Below are 16,640 nucleotides of genomic sequence, written 5' to 3'. Positions count from 1 at the left end.
TCATTTGAGGGGTTCTTTTACTTTTTTTTTCTAGTGGCTCGACAAAATGACAGTTACTTTGGCATCACCCTATGGGATTAAGATGTTAATCTTGAACTCATGTCTCTATTATAATTGGTTGGGTTGTTTCTTTCTAATGGACAAGTCCAAGACGCAAAATTCCAAACCAGATGTGGCAATTTGGGGTCAGGAAATCACTAGAAACTGCCATTCCAGTTGTATTTAAACTTCACTCCATCCTAAGTTCCAGAGTTGTGTTGTCTATAAGAATAGGCAGGATCGGTCTGGTGCAGTGGCTCATGCCTGTAATTGCAGCACTTTGGGAGGCCAAGGCGGGTGGATCATGAGGTCAGGAGATTGAGACCATCCTGGCCAAGATGGTGAAACCCCATCTCTACTAAAAATACAAAAATTAGCCGGGCGTGGTGGTGGGTGCCTGTAATCCCAGCTACTTGAGAGGCTGAGGCAGGAGAATCGCTTGAACCCAGGAGATGGAGGTTGCAGTTAGCCGAGATCGCACTGCCGTACTCCAGCCTGGCGACAGCGCGAGACTCTGTCTCAGAAAAAGAAAAAAAGAACAGGCAGGATCTTTAATTATTATAAATTGTTTAAAAACAAATTTTAAAATTGCATGGAACTAGAGAAATAGGGAAATAAATGCATAGCACCAAGACCGAAGTCTTTCCAACTCAGGCACATGTGCTAACCTTATCTCTAGAGGTGCTGCCATTCAAACATCTGCATCCAGACATGCGGGCCTGAGATTGAAGACATGATACATAGATTTGGTGACCTAAATTATAATAAATTCAAGTTAATACAGCTAATTCAGTTAATTCTTGCTAATTCAAGAAAAGAGATTCAACAGCATGGATTCAGAGACTTCTGATTCCATAAAACACTGCTTAATAACACAAGTCACAACTTCGTCCCGCAAACTGACAAGAGATGGGCTCTTTTGCTATTTATTTAGTTTTCTGAATAAATTTAGATTGTGATAATTCTTACTCTTAGATTTCAAGTCTGAATGCAGAAATTGTAGAAGGCACCTGTGTGTGTGTGTGCCTGTGTGTGTGTGTTTTCCTTCTGAAACTATCTAGTAATGAAGTAGGGCTAGAGTTAACAGCACATTAAACAAATGCCAGAAGACCCTTTATTGGAGTTTATTTCCACTGATTTATGGCCTGAGTCTAATCAAATTGCTTCTCTAATTCCCTATGGTCTTATCTGTGATTTATGTTGGGGGAGCGGGGGGAGGGAAGGATTTAGGATAAGGTTGGACGAGATGTTTTCTTAAGACCCTTTTGTTAGGAAATGCAAGGCATTTCCTTCACTCTGTCTATGGTGCACATGCACGCACACACACACACACACACACACACACACACCGCAGCACCCCCCAGCTATTATATGTGTATGTCAACAGGTACCCTATTTAGTTTATGGTTAATTCTCTTTGCAGAGTCATTGCTCACCCTCTCAGAGTAATTCTCAAAGGGGACTCCATGGTGTGGGGGGAACTAGAACTATACAGGTGACTCCGCAAAATCATCCTTCACCAAGAGCTTCTTTTGAGCTATTTTTCCAAAGGCTGTTTTTCTAATAGTAGTAGGAGGATGTTCTCCAAATCTCCACTCCCCCTGTCATATGCTTTCTTTGATAATACTTTTGCAATATCACCCTGTACTAGTCTGTTCTCATGCTGCAAATAAAGACATACTCAAGACTGGGTAATTTATAAAGGGAAGAGGTTTAATTGACTCACAGCTCCACATAGCTGGGGAGGCCTCACAGTCATGGCAGAAGAGTAAAGAGATGTCTTGCACGGTGGCCAGCAAAGAGAGAGAATGAGGACCAAGTGAAAGGGATTTTTCCATTATAAAACCATCAGATCTCATGAGACTTATTTGCTACCACGAGAACAGTATGGGGGAAACCGCACCCAGGATTCAGTTATCTCTCACCAGGTTCATCCCACAACATGTGGGAATTATGGGAGCTACAATTTAAGATGAGATTTGGGTAGGGACACAGCCAAACCATGTCATTCCACCCTGACCCCTCCCAAATCTCGTATTCTAACATTTCAAAACCAATCATACCTTCCCAACAGTCCCCCAAAGTCTTAACTCATTTCTGCATTAACTCAAAAGTCCACAGTTCGAAGTCTCATCTGAGACAAGGCAAGTTCCTTCCACCTATGAGTCTGTAAAATCAAAAGCAAGTTAGTTACATCCTAGATACAATGGGGGTACAGGCATTGGGTAAATACAGCCATTTCAAATGGGAGAAATTGGGCAAACAAAGGGGTTACAGGGCCTATGCAAGTCCAAAATCCAGCATGGCAGTCAAATCTTAAAGCTCCAAAATGATCTCCTTTTGACTCTATGTCTCACATCCAGGTCATGCTGATGCAAGAGATGGGTTCTCATGGTCTTGGGCAGCTCTGTCCCTGTGGCTTTTCCAGGTGCAGCCTCCCTCCTGACTGCTTTCCTGGGCTGACAGTGAGCATCTGCTGCTTTTCCAGGCACATGGTGCAAGTTGTCAGTGGACCTACCATTCTGGGATCTGGAGAACAGTGGCCCTCTTCTCACAGCTCCACTAGGCAGTGCCCTAGTAGGGACTCTGTGTGGGGGTTTCAACTCCACATTTTGCTTCCACACTACCATAGCAGAGGTTATCCATGAAGGCCCTGCCCCTGCAGCAAATTTCTGCCTGGACATCCAGGTGGTTTCATACATCCTCTGAAATCTAGGCGGAGGTTCCCAAACCTCAATTCTTGACTTCTGTGCACCTGCAGGCTCAACACCATGCAGAAATCTCCAAGGCTTGAGGCTTGCACCTTCTGAAGCCATGGCCTGAGCTGTACCTAGCCCCTTTTAGCCATGACTAGAGCATCTGGGATGCAGGGCACCAAGTCCCTAGGCTGCACACAGCAGGGGGACCCTGGGCCCAGCCCACAAAACCATCTTTTCCTCCTAGGCCTCTTGGTCTGTGATGTGTGACATTTTCCCCATTGTCTTGGCTCCTTGTTACTTCTGCAAATTTGTGCAGCAGGCTGGAATTTCTCCTCAGAAAATGGGTTTTTCTTTTCTATTGCATCATCAGGCTGCAAATTTTCTGAACTTTTATGTGTCGTTTCCCTTTTAAAACCGAATGCTTTTAACAGCACCCAAGTTACCTCTTGAATGTTTTCCTGTTTAGAAATTGTTTCCGCCAGATACCCTAAGTCATTTCCCTCAAGTTCAAAGTTCCACAGATCTCTAGGGCAGGGGTAAAATGCTGCCAGTCTCTTTGCTAAAACACAGCAAGAATCATTTTTACTCCAGTTCCCAACTAGTTCCTCGTCTCCACTGAGACCACCTCAGCCTGGATGTCATTGTCCATATTATCAACATTTTGTTCAAAGACATTCAACAAGTCTCTAGGAAGTTCCAAAATTTCCCACATTTTCTTATCTTCTTCTGAGCTCTCCAAACTGTTCCAACCTCTGCCTGTTACCCACTTCTAAAGTCGCTTCCACATATCAGGTATCTTTATAGCAGAGCCACACTCTACCAGTACCAATTTACTGTATTAGTTCATTTTCACGCTGCTGATAAAGAATACCCAAGACTGGGTAATTTATAAAGGAAAGAAGTTTAATTGACTCACAGTTCCACAGGGCTGAGGAAGCCTCACAACTGTGGTGGAAGACAAAGGAAAAACAAAGGGATGTCTTACATGGCAGCCAGCAAAGAGACAGCATGAGAACCAAGTGAAAGGGGTTTCCCCTTGTAAAACCATCAGATCTCATGAGACTTATTCACTATCATGAAAACAGTATGGAGGAAACTGCCCCCATTATTCAATTATCTCCCACGGGCTCCCTTCCACAACACATGGGAATTATAGGAGCTACAATTTAAGATGAGATTTGGGGTGGGAGAACACAGCCAAACCATAACAAACCCTCTACAGCTAGGAGTATTTGGTCCATGGCGAAAGGATAGATAATAGCTAACTCATATAGTTTGAGGTATTAAAGTGATTCTTTTTCTAATTATGAGAAAGTAAAAATGAATTACTTAAACATATGAACATTTTTTCCTCGTAAAGGAAAACTTGTTTGCACATACATATACTCGAATAAAAATGTGCTAGAGGCAATATGAAAATAACCATATTGAATTTCTTGCCTGTTGGGAAGGGACTGTTAACTCATTGGACTGGAACTATTTTTTAGTAATTAAAATTCAGTAAATTATTTTTATTGACTTAATATTTTAACCTAGATGCCATAAGCTATAGTAAGTAACACATGTAAGAGAAATGCTGCCTCAGTTCTTAACTATAGATTTTTAAATTGGACAATTCAAATGGGAAATCTCAATGGCACTATAGAGTGTTTTTAAAAATTACATTTGGAAAGTTGGGTTACATTTTAAAATAAGGGCATAGTCTCAGTGCTGATGGACCACACATTCCATGGTTACTAAGAGAGTAAGTTACATCTTCAGTTTTATAACCATAATTTACAAAATCCGAGCCACTGCCTCAGGGTACTTTTTGATGAAATATTGACTTTAAAGAAGTATAAGTTCACCTCGTTGGTAAATATGTCATGTTGGAAAAACTGTGAGGTTCATTTTCTTTGTATTGTTGTACAATTTTATATTTTGCAAACATCTCTTACAATTCTTTTAATTTAATCCGTGTCTATAGTATTTTTCCCATTTTTATTTATTACACGTGTTGGTGAGTTTTTTCCTTTGTTCTCTATGAAATTATCAGATTGTTTTATTGTTTCTCTTTTTGTTTATAGTGCCTTCACTGGCCTTTTTATTTTTATCAATTCAGTTCTCCTTTGAGCTGCTTCCAGCACAATCTGCATTAATGTGATAGTTCTAGTTTTCTTCCCTTTTCAATGTCTTTCCTGTGCTCTGCTAGGTCTCATTCCCCTGAGCCCTTGTTCTTAACAATTTCAGGGGCTTCTTTCTGTTAGTAGTGGCACCATTTATCTGATGAGTATTCCCCATCTGTTGTTTGTTTGAAGTTCTTTATTCCTGCTTCTGCTGCTGATGGTATAATACTTCCTTCTCCTCCCTTTGCTCTTTTTCTTTTATCTCTTCCTTCCTCTTCTTCTTCTTCACCTTTTTCTTCTTCCCCTCCATCTTCTCCATCATCTCTTTGTCCTCCTCCTTCTACTCTTCCGTCTGCCCCTTCTCCTCCTCCTCTCTTTTCTTCTTCACTTTATTTTATTATTGTTATTTACAATCTTTGAGTGAAATGTGTTCTTTTCAGACCAACTATTTGCAGATTTGTACCACAGGGCAATCAGAGCAGTAGTATTCTAAGCTATCTAGAATTGTCCTTGGTTTATTATTAGGGTCCTATGAAGCGGTGTGTATGTGCGTGTGTGTGTGTGTGTGTGTGCGTGCATGTGTGTGTGTGTGTGCCTTTACTTCCTTACTTTTGTAGGGCCTCTTGCAATTCAATGTCTATTCTCTGCCTAGCCTCTTGGCATCTTGCCTTATTCCTCTCTGATATTTACAGCATTTGGCAGCCCTTTCTCATATAGTTTTGATTTTAGATTACAGATTTTTCCTAGGATGTGTGATTGCATTTCTGTTTCTTACTCTCCTTATTTTTGAGGTGATAATTTCTGAAAGAGCTAAAACTTTACTATGCTATCTTAAATCCAACATCACAATGCCTTTCTCATATGTTATATTTGTGCCTTCCTCCCCTGGGAAAGAAGAATATACATTGCTGTGCTTTGTTCAACTTGATCCTTCTGTTGCATTCCCAAACATTTGCTTTTTCTTCATTTCACCTGAAAAGACTCACTTGAGATATTACCTAAATGTCTTTGGAAGCTCTTGCATTGACAGGTGCCATCTTCTCTGTGAACTTCCAATACAGATGGAGCCCTTGTCTCTTTTGACTGGTTTGCTGCTTACATATAGCTACCCCCAAATGTATAACAACACACATAAACAGAAGTTTTGAACTCACTCATGTACAGTATAGGACTCATGTTTCTTGATTAGCAGATGGTTCTATGATAAGCAATGATTTTAGACCGTATTCTGCCATCTACCTTGCTTCCAAAGTGCTTGTCTACATCAAACCAGCAAACTGGGGAAAACATGGAGAAGTAGGCATAAGAGATATTGTAGGCCTGAACTGTGGTAGAAATGCATCCCTTCTCTCGTTCTGTTATTGAGCACTAACTGGCAGTGATTCTAGGCAATGGGGTCTAGCTGTGTAGACAGGAAATGGAGGAGGAGAAGAATAGGGATGTGGTGAACAGCTACCTGCCTAACTGCTGTCTTTAGTTTGTCTGTCATGAATGTCTGAGTGGCCAAAGGAACTTGAGTGTTTCTAACCAAATTAGTCTTTTCATTTATTCAACAAATATTCATTATCTTCCTTCTGTGTGCCAACTATGTGGCTTTATCAGTTGGAGTTATCTTAACCCCTACTGCAGGAATGATACTTATTTTTCTGCGCTGTCCTGGAAGAAAAAAAAATGAGTGAGTTTTTAAAAATCCTTTGTGTAAATAGAGACTTTTGCCCTCTTTTGAAAATGTTGACCTCTTCAATAAAGAGGAAGTGTATGAATAATTTTAAGCTATAGCTGTAGAGTCATACAGTATTGTGTTATCACTCAAGTTGGACTCATGAGTAGAAGTTTATTCCTCTACATTATCAGCACTGTTTTTTTTTTTCAATTCGTAAGTATATCTGCTTTCCAAAGGGAATTCAAGTACCTCTGTTTTAAAAATAAGCTTTTATTAGTCGAGTCTACACAGCTCAATTAAATACAAAGCATGTAAATTATGTGTATATTTGGGTATAGACAAGTTCGTGGAATTAGGAGTTATTTAGTATCAGGTGATTGTTCAGTAATGAAATCCAAATTAGTGTTTATATTTTAATAGTCATGGAGAGTGTTCACACCCTCCCCATTAAAATGTACTGACAGAACAATTTGTATCCCTGCTACATGGGAATAAAAAGGGTTTTGTTTGTTTTAGCTGAACTATCCCACCAAACCATCTACACCACTAGAATTTATGTTATAAATGCACTTCCTTTTCTACATATCACCTAGGTAGAAATCACTCAGGAGGAAATCATTTTTATCATGCCACTTGAGAGAGCAGTTTTCAGTAGTGCGTACTTGAAATAAAGAAGCCATTGTGTCCGCTGGGGTGTCTATATAGGAAGAGGGTGCAGAAGGAACTGAGCCACTTAGGGACTATTCCTGAGACCCTTGGATGTCCCCAGCTCCCATTGTGACCCCACTGTTGAGCTGCCTCAGACACACACCCCTTTTCCGTCCTTTCAGTTAATGCTACATGTGAGCCAATATCCATTCTCTTTGGTAGCATGCCTTAGAAGGAAGAATCATCCAGTTTTGAACCAGGCCTGGTTGCAGGTTGTTACTACCCTTTATTTGCTATTACATTAATTTATTGACAGTACTTATTACAATCGGAGTGTATTAGGTGAACAAATTCACTAAAGGTTTCTCGAGTCTTGGCCTTAAATATTAGAGCCACCTGTTGGGAAACAACAGTAGTTCTTTTTATTTATTTACATGCATTTTCCTCTTTCATCCTTATAACCCTATGAGGTAGAGATTACTATCTCACATTTAGCAAGTGATAAAAACTAAAATGTATGGAAGGAAAATAACTTACCTGTGATCTATCTCACATCTAGTAGGAGAAAGGGATTCAAGCACAAGTCAGTAGCTATTATCCTGAGCCAGTAAAATGAATTAGCACAGCTTCACTACTATAAGAAGGGTGACATATTATTTTTCCTTTCCTCTGGGGGTATGACAAGTATTAAGCCTCTGGCCCAAGTTTTTAGAAAACATCTCCATTATTATTTAGACTCTTCATAATGCTTATTATGGTGATGCTTTTTGGTGAGATTGAGAATATATTGGTTAGACAATTGTGTTTTATTGTTGTCTAACTTCATAGACACAAGCAATTATTTATTCTCTTTTTGGTCCACTTTTCATTATGGACTGGTCTCTGAGGTTAAAAACCCAGAAGCACTTGCTCCAAGTGTGTGTGGCTTTAGGTAGCACTAGAAGAATCAGTCTGAATCAGTCCAGTTTGAATTTTAGTTTCAGACACTGCCCACATCTGGGAGGAGTTCATTAGCTAAACAATGGCCACAGGTTGACCCAGGATGACTTGAGAAAACACAGAAATTCTGCCTGCAGTGCTGGCTGCAGGCCACAAGACATATTGCCTGTTGCCTTATTTTCCATGGAGGTCCTAGTACTGCCCAATGAGGCTTTCTTTACAGCAACATGAACTTTGCAGTTGGGTGGAACTATTGGATCCCAGAGGGCTTCAGCCTTTTGGTGTCTTTTATGTAGAGAAGCAGGCTCCATAAAGACTTATTTTATAATGTAATTGTAATAATTAAAATAAAGACCAGTGGCCTCCGTGGCGGCAGAAGTTGCTAAATGAAATCTGGGTGACCCAGCCTACTGTTCCTTAATTTACTATGACCTTTTATTTTTCCAGGGTGACAGAGAAGCAGAGCTGGGGCTGCCTTTTTCTCCTCTGTGTGACCGAAAGTCCACTATGGTTGCTCAGTCACAAGTAGGTACGTGTTTGCAGCTCTTTGGATAGAAGCACCAAAGCAGGAAGCCTGTAGAAGTAAGCACAGATGATCCCAGTGGTTCTTTGGCTGGGAAACTGGCTCCATTCTGCCATGTTGTGCTCATGGCTCTGCCTGATTCAATTTATGGAACCACTCTGTCCATTCTTTTCCCTGGAATGTGGCTTGTTCATGGGAGAATTGGACAATGATACTCTTGGTGTCTCTGTCATTCCCTGTCAAGAGAAAGAGGGGGCCCCAACTTTCCAAGGAGATAACAAGTGTCATTGGCAGGAAGCCCATTCTACTCCATCCCGCCATTCTGCATGCAGGACTGTAAGCTAACAAGGCATTTCTACTCACTGATGCTTCTCCTAGCCCTGTTTTCAGGACAGCCCCATTTCCTTGTTGAATCTACTTCCATGAATGGATCTTTTAAAATGTTTTCTTCCTTGTTTCCTGTCTTCCTTCCATCCTTTCTTTTCTTTAAAGCACTTTTTTAAGGTAAGAATAACTTTTGAATTGCTAATAACCATAATATATGCATTTTAAAAATCTTCATCTGTGGGAGAGGACACCAGTGCCCTATCTAAGTTAAATGTTGTCAGTGATCTCCACCTTTGAAGAGTCTGAAGTCATTTAAGAAAATTCAATAAGAATTAGGCATTTTTCTACTTGTGTTTTGAGTGCTTATGCTTTTTTTATAATGTATATTGAGTCTTCATATATTGGGCACTGCTAGACATGATAATAGATGTTATAGGAACAAAGACAAATTATATATGGTACCTGCTCTCAAAGACATTAAACCAGTATTGGGTGATGGGCAAAATGTTACAAAAACAAAAATCTATTAGAATGTTATAATGCCAAGGTAGACTTTTGTACCTAGTACGATAAGGTACACAACAGAGTGTGTGAACCATTAGGTTTATTAAGGGATAATATTTGAATTGAGTCCCAAGAAGTGAGTAGGCATTGTCTGGGCAAATGGTGATCTGTGTTGGAGGTGAGCTAGGGGTGGGTAGAAGGGTATTCCAGGCAGAGAATGTAGCATATACAAAGCAGGGAAACTTAAAACTGCCTGGTATGGTCAGCAAATTCTAAACATTTCCATATGGCAAGAACATTGGGTACGGAGTAGGATGTAGTGAGGGACGTATCAAGCCCAGATTTTATATAGTGTTAATAATAGCATGTGTTTATACTTTCTTGTAGGAAATGAGGGCATATCTAAAGAATTTTAAGTGAGGTTAAAAATATATAAATTTATGTTTTAGCCTGTGGGCTTAATCTGGCCCACCACCTGTTCTTGTAAATAAAGTTTTATTACAACATAGCTAAGTGCATTCATTTACATATTGTCTATGGCTGCTTTAGCACTTTAGTGGCAGAGTTAAGTGGTTTTGATAGCGATGATATGGCCTGCAAAGTCTAAAATAACTATCTGGTCCTTTACAGATAAAGTTTGCCTACCCTGTTTTTAGAAGATTTCTTTGCCAGTAGCATAGAGGATTAATTGGAGGATTTTCAGTAAGATTAGAGGCAAGGAAAGTAGTTGACTGCCTCCTACAGGATTACAAAGAAGAGATGATGAATATCAGAACTAAGGTAGTAACGGGGCCTCTCCAGAAGAGAGGTGGCACATAAGGTATCAAGGATTTGGCTGAACGCAAAGCTGAGATAAAGGCAGAACTCTACATTAAGTGGTTGGACCATGATCCCATTTACAAAGGTTGTGGGGAAGCTTATGAGTTAGTTCTGGTTTGGACATGTTGAGCTTAATTTGTCAGGAAAAAAAAGGCAAAAATGGTGTCATCAAATACTTTAGTTTCAGCTTAAAACTACACTATAATTAACCATAATACACAATACATACTACACATACACAATTACAACACTGTATTAACCATAATACACTTTTGGCTATCACTGTTTCCTTATCAATCACGATACTATTGGTATTTGGTTGAGACAATTCTTGTTTTGTCAATTACATTGTAGGACTTTTAACATCCTTTACTGCTGGGCATTAATGCCAGCTTTACCTCTACCTGGGCCATTGTGAAAACTAAATATGCATTCATACATTTCCAAACATGCCCTTCGAAGGAGAATGGACAACATTTCCTCTGGTTGATATTTAGTTTCCTTCCGGTTTTCATGTGACTGTGTAATGAATTACCAGCATCCCCACTAGCTTCAGCTCCTATTTTCTCTCCTGATTGTCGCAGAACATTTGGGTGTCTGAGCTGTTGGGACAATCTCTGTAGCCCGACTTCAGCCATCTCTCTATCACTATACAAAGGTATAGTTCTAGGCCTGAGCCCTCTTCCACTTTCCAATCCTGTTTCTTCCAACTCTGTTTGCCCTCTCCCATCTAGATGTGCCCCCCTGTACCTCAAAGTCAGCAAATCTGAAACTGAGCCCATTGTCTTTTCTTGGCCTTATTCTCCTTCTATTTCCTGTTTTCCCTGCTTTGTTGTTGGAGTGTCTTTGGCAGATCCCATACAGAGGCAGTACCACCTCCTGCTGTGCAGGTATCTGTGCCTGCTTTGCATTTCCACTTTATAGTGGCACTGGTTCCAGCCTTCTTTATCTTTTGTTTAAACAATTGCAATAGCTTCTAAATGATTTTCTCATCCTTCTCCCTTCCTGCTTTCTTCCTTCTTATCTATCTTGCCAGATTAACTTTCCAAAGAACATTTAAAAACTCTTATGACAATGCGGCTCAAACATCTCCAGGAGCCTCCAGTGTCCACCTAAGTCCCAACCCTCTATCTGAACACTTAGAAGCCTCCCTTCCTAGAGCTGTCGATAACCTGCCTTCCCAAGCTTTCCTTCCCCAAATCCAAAAGAATCCCTACTCCCTAGTCAGTCCCCAGACACATCTTACACCCTCCCATCTCTGTCACTTGGCTTTTTCCATTCCCACCGCCCAGAGTGAATAGCCACATCTTCCTCTCCACCCATTCTTAAGGGTTCAGCTCAAATGTCACAACTTCAGGCAGGTTGTGTTATTCAGTCTTGGTCTTTTACACAGCTCTTATCACAGTGCTTGTTCTATAGTGGGTGTTGAGTGTATATTTCTTAGGCACTTTATTGAACTGTATCCTGAAAAGTCATAGGAAGTTATGTAGGAGAAATGAAACTGACATGTAATATTCAAATCAAGGAATACATACAGTACATAAGATCAAGCCATTCTCTTTTAATCTGATCTGGAACTTCTAGATCAGTTTCTTCTGGAAAGTATGGAAAGGCCCAAGGTAATATGTGGTTCCTCTGAAGCATTGCTGTTTCTCTTCAGGTTTCATTGATTTCATCGTGGAACCCACCTTCACTGTGCTTACGGACATGACCGAGAAGATTGTGAGTCCATTAATCGATGAAACCTCTCAAACTGGTGGGACAGGACAGAGGCGTTCGAGGTCAGTGGGGAAGCTTGAGGGCTGAGGGTGAGGTTGGCCTGTCCTTGAGGATAGAATTCTTCTTTTGCTGGGGATGGGGATGGTATTTCATAATGGCATTTGCCTTAGCTCCTTCTCAGAAAAATTTGTCTGCCTCTTTCCTTTTCTCAGAGGAGTTGAAATTGTATTATCCGTACTCTCCAGGCTAAACTGTAAAGGGTGACCAAGGTCTAAATCGTGACCAGCAGGCACCTGGTGCTGCCCCCCTGCCACCCTATTTGCTGCATGTTTACCTGCTGTGCCCAGACAATCCTTGCTCATGTAATACTCCACAAAGACAGTACCACTCATCAAGAATACTTACAAAGAAATGAAACTGACTTTCATTTCAAGGTTTGCACAAAGAATGAAGTAGAGAAAAAGAATCGAAAGCTTGAAATCACCTTCTACCACCACATCATTATATCAAGGGCAGCTCCTCATCACTTACTCCTGACCTCATCACTTACTAGCTGTGCAATCGCAGGCCAATTGTCTCACTTCCCCCATCTGAGAAAACGTGGATTATAATACTCAGAGGTGACTGGGAAGACGAAATAAGTTATTAAAAATATGTTAAACCTTACAACAGGATCTAGAACAGAGGAAGTGCTAGCTACCATAAAGTCTTTATTAGATATACTACTACTATTACGACTACTACTAATCTCCTTGTTCATGTAGAACAGTGGGCTTTGTCATAAAGGAGGAAGAAGAGAAGTGGAATGAATAGGAAAAGAAGAAGCAAAGAGCAGGAAAAGGAGTAAAGAAAGACAGGCGTTAGGACAGGGGACCCCAGGGATGCTCCAGATGGATAGACCCTCTTAAGTTTGCTAACAAGGAGGACAGAGCCCCCTGCCAGAGTCCCCATGGCCCCACAGCTCTTCAGGCAGTGACTGAAATATATTCTGCTTGTCTAGTCCATCATGAATTTGTATTCCTACCAGTCACTTCTTTAACCACTTGGTAGCAGTAGTTACTTCTTTGAGATTTTCCAGAAAGATGGTGCTTTCTAATATTTACAAAGTTACCCATAAGGTCTTTTGCATGACCTAGTCCCTCACAATCTCCATGCTGTCCGCATTTCCATCTTCTTCCAGCAACTTAAGGAAATTATCACTTCCCCTGGACTTGGGTATGCTGGGATCAGAAAGACCCTTGCAGGGGAATGGTAGAGCTGGAAAGAAAGAGGAGCAAGTTGCTAGGTAACTTGGAAAAGTGGTCAGTGTGGAAGCAGGTAGGTGAACTGTGGAATTAAGTAGATGTCCCAGTTCAAATTAGTCAGTTTCAGAGAACAGAGCAGAGAAAATTCACATGAGGGGATTCTGGTTATGGGGAAAAAAGAAGAGGCCAAATAGCAAAGAAGAAATATGAAGAATATAGAGACTCTTGAGACTGCAATGTTGATGTTTTTCCTGCTGAAAATTCAGAATTTCCCACCGGTCATATGTGGAAAATAGAATAATTATAAACCTCAGGATCCAGATATTTCACAGCAATAACTTTAGGAGTGCTAACCATTCCTCCTCTGGGCTTGCTCATTGGCAGACATTTTCCAAACACTAACTCTCTTCTTTGGTATGATTTTTTTGTTTTCCAGTTTGAATAGCATCAGCTCGTCAGATGCCAAGCGATCAGGTGTCAAGACCTCTGGTTCAGAGGGAAGTGCCCCGATCAACAATTCTGTCATCTCCGTTGACTATAAGAGCTTTAAAGCTACTTGGACGGAAGTGGTGCACATCAATCGGGAGAGATGGAGGGCCAAGGTACCCAAAGGTAACATGCCACAGACCTGTCCAAACCAATTCAGCATAAAACAAGGTTGTCCTCTCTGAGTTATGTGTGTTACAAATAAAGCACAGTTGCTCAGGATGCAGATTCAAATTGCCGAATATTAGAATCTACCATCTTTTGATCTTCATAATATCTACGAATCAATGCATGATAAAATGCAGCAGACCTGCAAGCCTCCTGACATGATTCCCTTTATGCTGTGAGACTAAACTCCTTTTTCTAGTATGAAGACTCTACAGGACATGGGTGTTATTATTTCTTGATTTCTGCTAAACATCTTGTCGTTTTCACTTGATATCATGTGGCACAACTGTGAGGCTTTTATTTCTTCTTTTACCTAAGTAAAGACCCGCTAATAGCCACCTTGCCTTGGCCATTATGTTGGGATATAAGGAGCTTTAATTTTCTTACAGGCATTTTTATATTCCTTTCATATTCTCAGTTTCCCTTCACTCATTGCTCAAACCATATAACTGATCTTCTGAGATGATGGTAAATTGTCGGTAAACAGAAATTCCCTGAAGCAGACATCATCAAAACTAAAAGTTGTGGCCCTTGGTACTATCAACAGAAAAATATGGAAATTTGTATGATTTGGAAAGCTTACATTCCTTTGTTCATATGTGCATTTGTGACTACTGAGCATGTCCTCCATGATCGGTACATTCTACATTATCATACTAGGGAGAGATGCCCTTGTGCACAGGTAGCGCAAACCTGAGATAAGGGGTCTGACACTGTGATGTCTGATTCCAGGTAGGGACAAAGACATGGTGGCTCTGGGAGCCCAGTGAGGGGACTGGGCTTCCTAGAGGTGAGCCTTCAACAAGAGTCGGTTTTTGCTAACATCTATTGCATGCCTACTGTGTGCCAGGTTGTGCCCGGTGCCCAGGGTACAGAGATGAGTAACAGACATCCTTGCCCTCAAAACTCACAATCTTGTGGCAGGGGAAGGGAAGAGACATTACTACAGAATTTCATTCAAAGGAAGAATGGAAGTTCAGTCAAAGCCCTGAAGTTGCCACCAGCACCACCAGTCTAAGCCCTAGGCCCTCACATCAGACAAAAACACATTATCCCCTCCCCAAACACAACATCTCACATTTTTACCCTCCTGGTGTCAGTATACCAGGTGAGAAGGGTGGGGACGGTGGGTAAGAGCATGTTCTAGCAGTGTTGGTTCCCATATATTGGGTTGGGGCTGGGGGTTCTGCTTCTAGTGTAGGAAAGCAGCAGCCTCACTGTTGGAGTTATTCAAAGGCTTGTTCACAAAATTCTGTCCAATTTTGTGACTTGTCCATAAAATTCTGTTCAAGTGGCTGCTCATTTCAGGTGAGGCAAAGGGTTTATATTTATGGCACTTTTAGGGCATAATTGAACCCTTATCATTTCAGGACAGATGTTGCACCCTGAGCTATGGAGGGAGCCAACACCTTCCATATTTTAAGTGCACCCTCTCCTAGTCCATTCAAATGCTTTAAACATTTCAATCTTCCCTGTTGGCAGGCATTGCAAGCAGCGATGGCAGCTACTGCATCATCTGCAAAGAAACACTCTCTTATAATCAATTACACTCATTACACTTGAAAATTCAATTTCTGACAACATGCAATTTAAAGAGGTACTTCAAAATAATTTGTTTGCAATTATCTGGCTTACTAAAATTACCTTCAGAAACTAATCACCTGGGGAAGCATTTGACAGTTTCAGGAGAAAACTGGCCCTTTAAAAAGAACAGATAAATAAACAGCTAATAATTTTTAAATGCATTTGGTATGGGGATAGAGATAACTGTGTGTTTGAACTATTTTGGAAGCACAAAGAAGTTGTCTGTAGCCTTGCTTGGGAGTTTGGGAAGGCATCATGTAGCAGACTTCTGGGATTAAGACCTGAAGGAGGTGTTATATTTAGAAATGGGAACAAGAAGAAAGGGGTTGGGCAAAGGCACAGAGCCTGGTGTTACGGATATCTTGTGGGAGAATAGTTTGGTTATCAGGGCACATTTCAATTAGCAGGGAAGGGGAGAGAGAATTGAGTCTTGACTTGCAAGGTTTTTTTTTTTTTTTTTTGGCAAATTCAGATAGGTTCTTTGAGACTCACTTTGGGGATGATAATGTACATCGCAGAATTGAGGTGAATAGAAGTAATACCTATAAAGCACTGAGAAAGCAGCCTGCACAAGGTTGGTACCTAAGTAGTAGCTGTTATGTATGCAAATTGGAAAAGAAGGTTAAAGGTTTGAATACGAAGTTAAGGTGGTGGTGAAAATAGCAACCTGTAACTAATATTTTATAACATTCTTAGCAGCTCAGTAATGCTGTTGACTGGTTGACTGGTGCTAATTAGAAATCTAGTTCGCATCTGTTTTCTGTTGGTGGTGGCTGTTTTGTTTGTTGCTCTTTTTTTCCAGATGACCCTGATTTCAAGAAAGGCTGTCCTCCGTGGGGCACTTGAACATGTATTGTTAGTAAATGCACTGGAAATGGGTCTTGGTTTTGTTAACCAACCTGATTTACAAAACTAGGTAGGCAAGAACTGATAATTATTAGGAAAGATTAAATAAATATTTTTATAGCCCTTAGAGTTAAAAATCACTATTGCCAACTAAAGATGTATGGACATAACAATTTTCAAGTCTGATCAATATTGATTAATTTCCATTCAGTATTTAGTACTTTTTTTTAACATTTATTTTCTGGTGTAAGACTAACATGTTTAGGTTACAAATGCTGAAGTATAAAAAATATATATAAAAGAAAATGAAAATTACTAATTACCTCT

General features: G+C 40.5%; 1 protein-coding gene across 27 annotated transcripts in view, besides 1 other annotated feature; it reads left to right on the top strand.

Moving 5' to 3' along the window:
• Positions 1-16,640, top strand: part of PDE1C (phosphodiesterase 1C) — an 811,448-nt gene that overhangs the window by 591,311 nt on the left and 203,497 nt on the right. For 26 of the 27 annotated variants that reach the window (XR_001744802.1, XR_001744803.1, XR_007060044.1 and 23 more), the window contains 3 exon segments: positions 8,541-8,622; positions 11,927-12,047; positions 13,666-13,841. Coding sequence is in view for 21 of the 27 variants with exons in the window: in XM_047420443.1 (XP_047276399.1) it covers positions 8,541-8,622; positions 11,927-12,047; positions 13,666-13,841 (379 nt within the window). In the remaining 6 variants the exon portion in view is untranslated. 27 annotated transcript variants of the gene reach the window in all.
• Positions 10,878-11,379: an enhancer, noted in NCBI's record as "NANOG hESC enhancer chr7:31865149-31865650 (GRCh37/hg19 assembly coordinates)". NCBI's record gives its function as "activates a minimal SCP1, AML or CMV promoter by ChIP-STARR-seq in naive H9 embryonic stem cells {active_cell/tissue: H9 hESC(naive)}" and the evidence as "EXISTENCE:reporter gene assay evidence [ECO:0000049][PMID:30033119]".

The sequence above is a fragment of the Homo sapiens genome, chromosome 7 (genome assembly GCF_000001405.40).
Source record: "Homo sapiens chromosome 7, GRCh38.p14 Primary Assembly".
NCBI lineage: Eukaryota > Metazoa > Chordata > Mammalia > Primates > Hominidae > Homo > Homo sapiens.
Note: the sequence above shows the minus strand (reverse complement) of the source record. Positions and strands in the feature narration are given on the sequence as shown.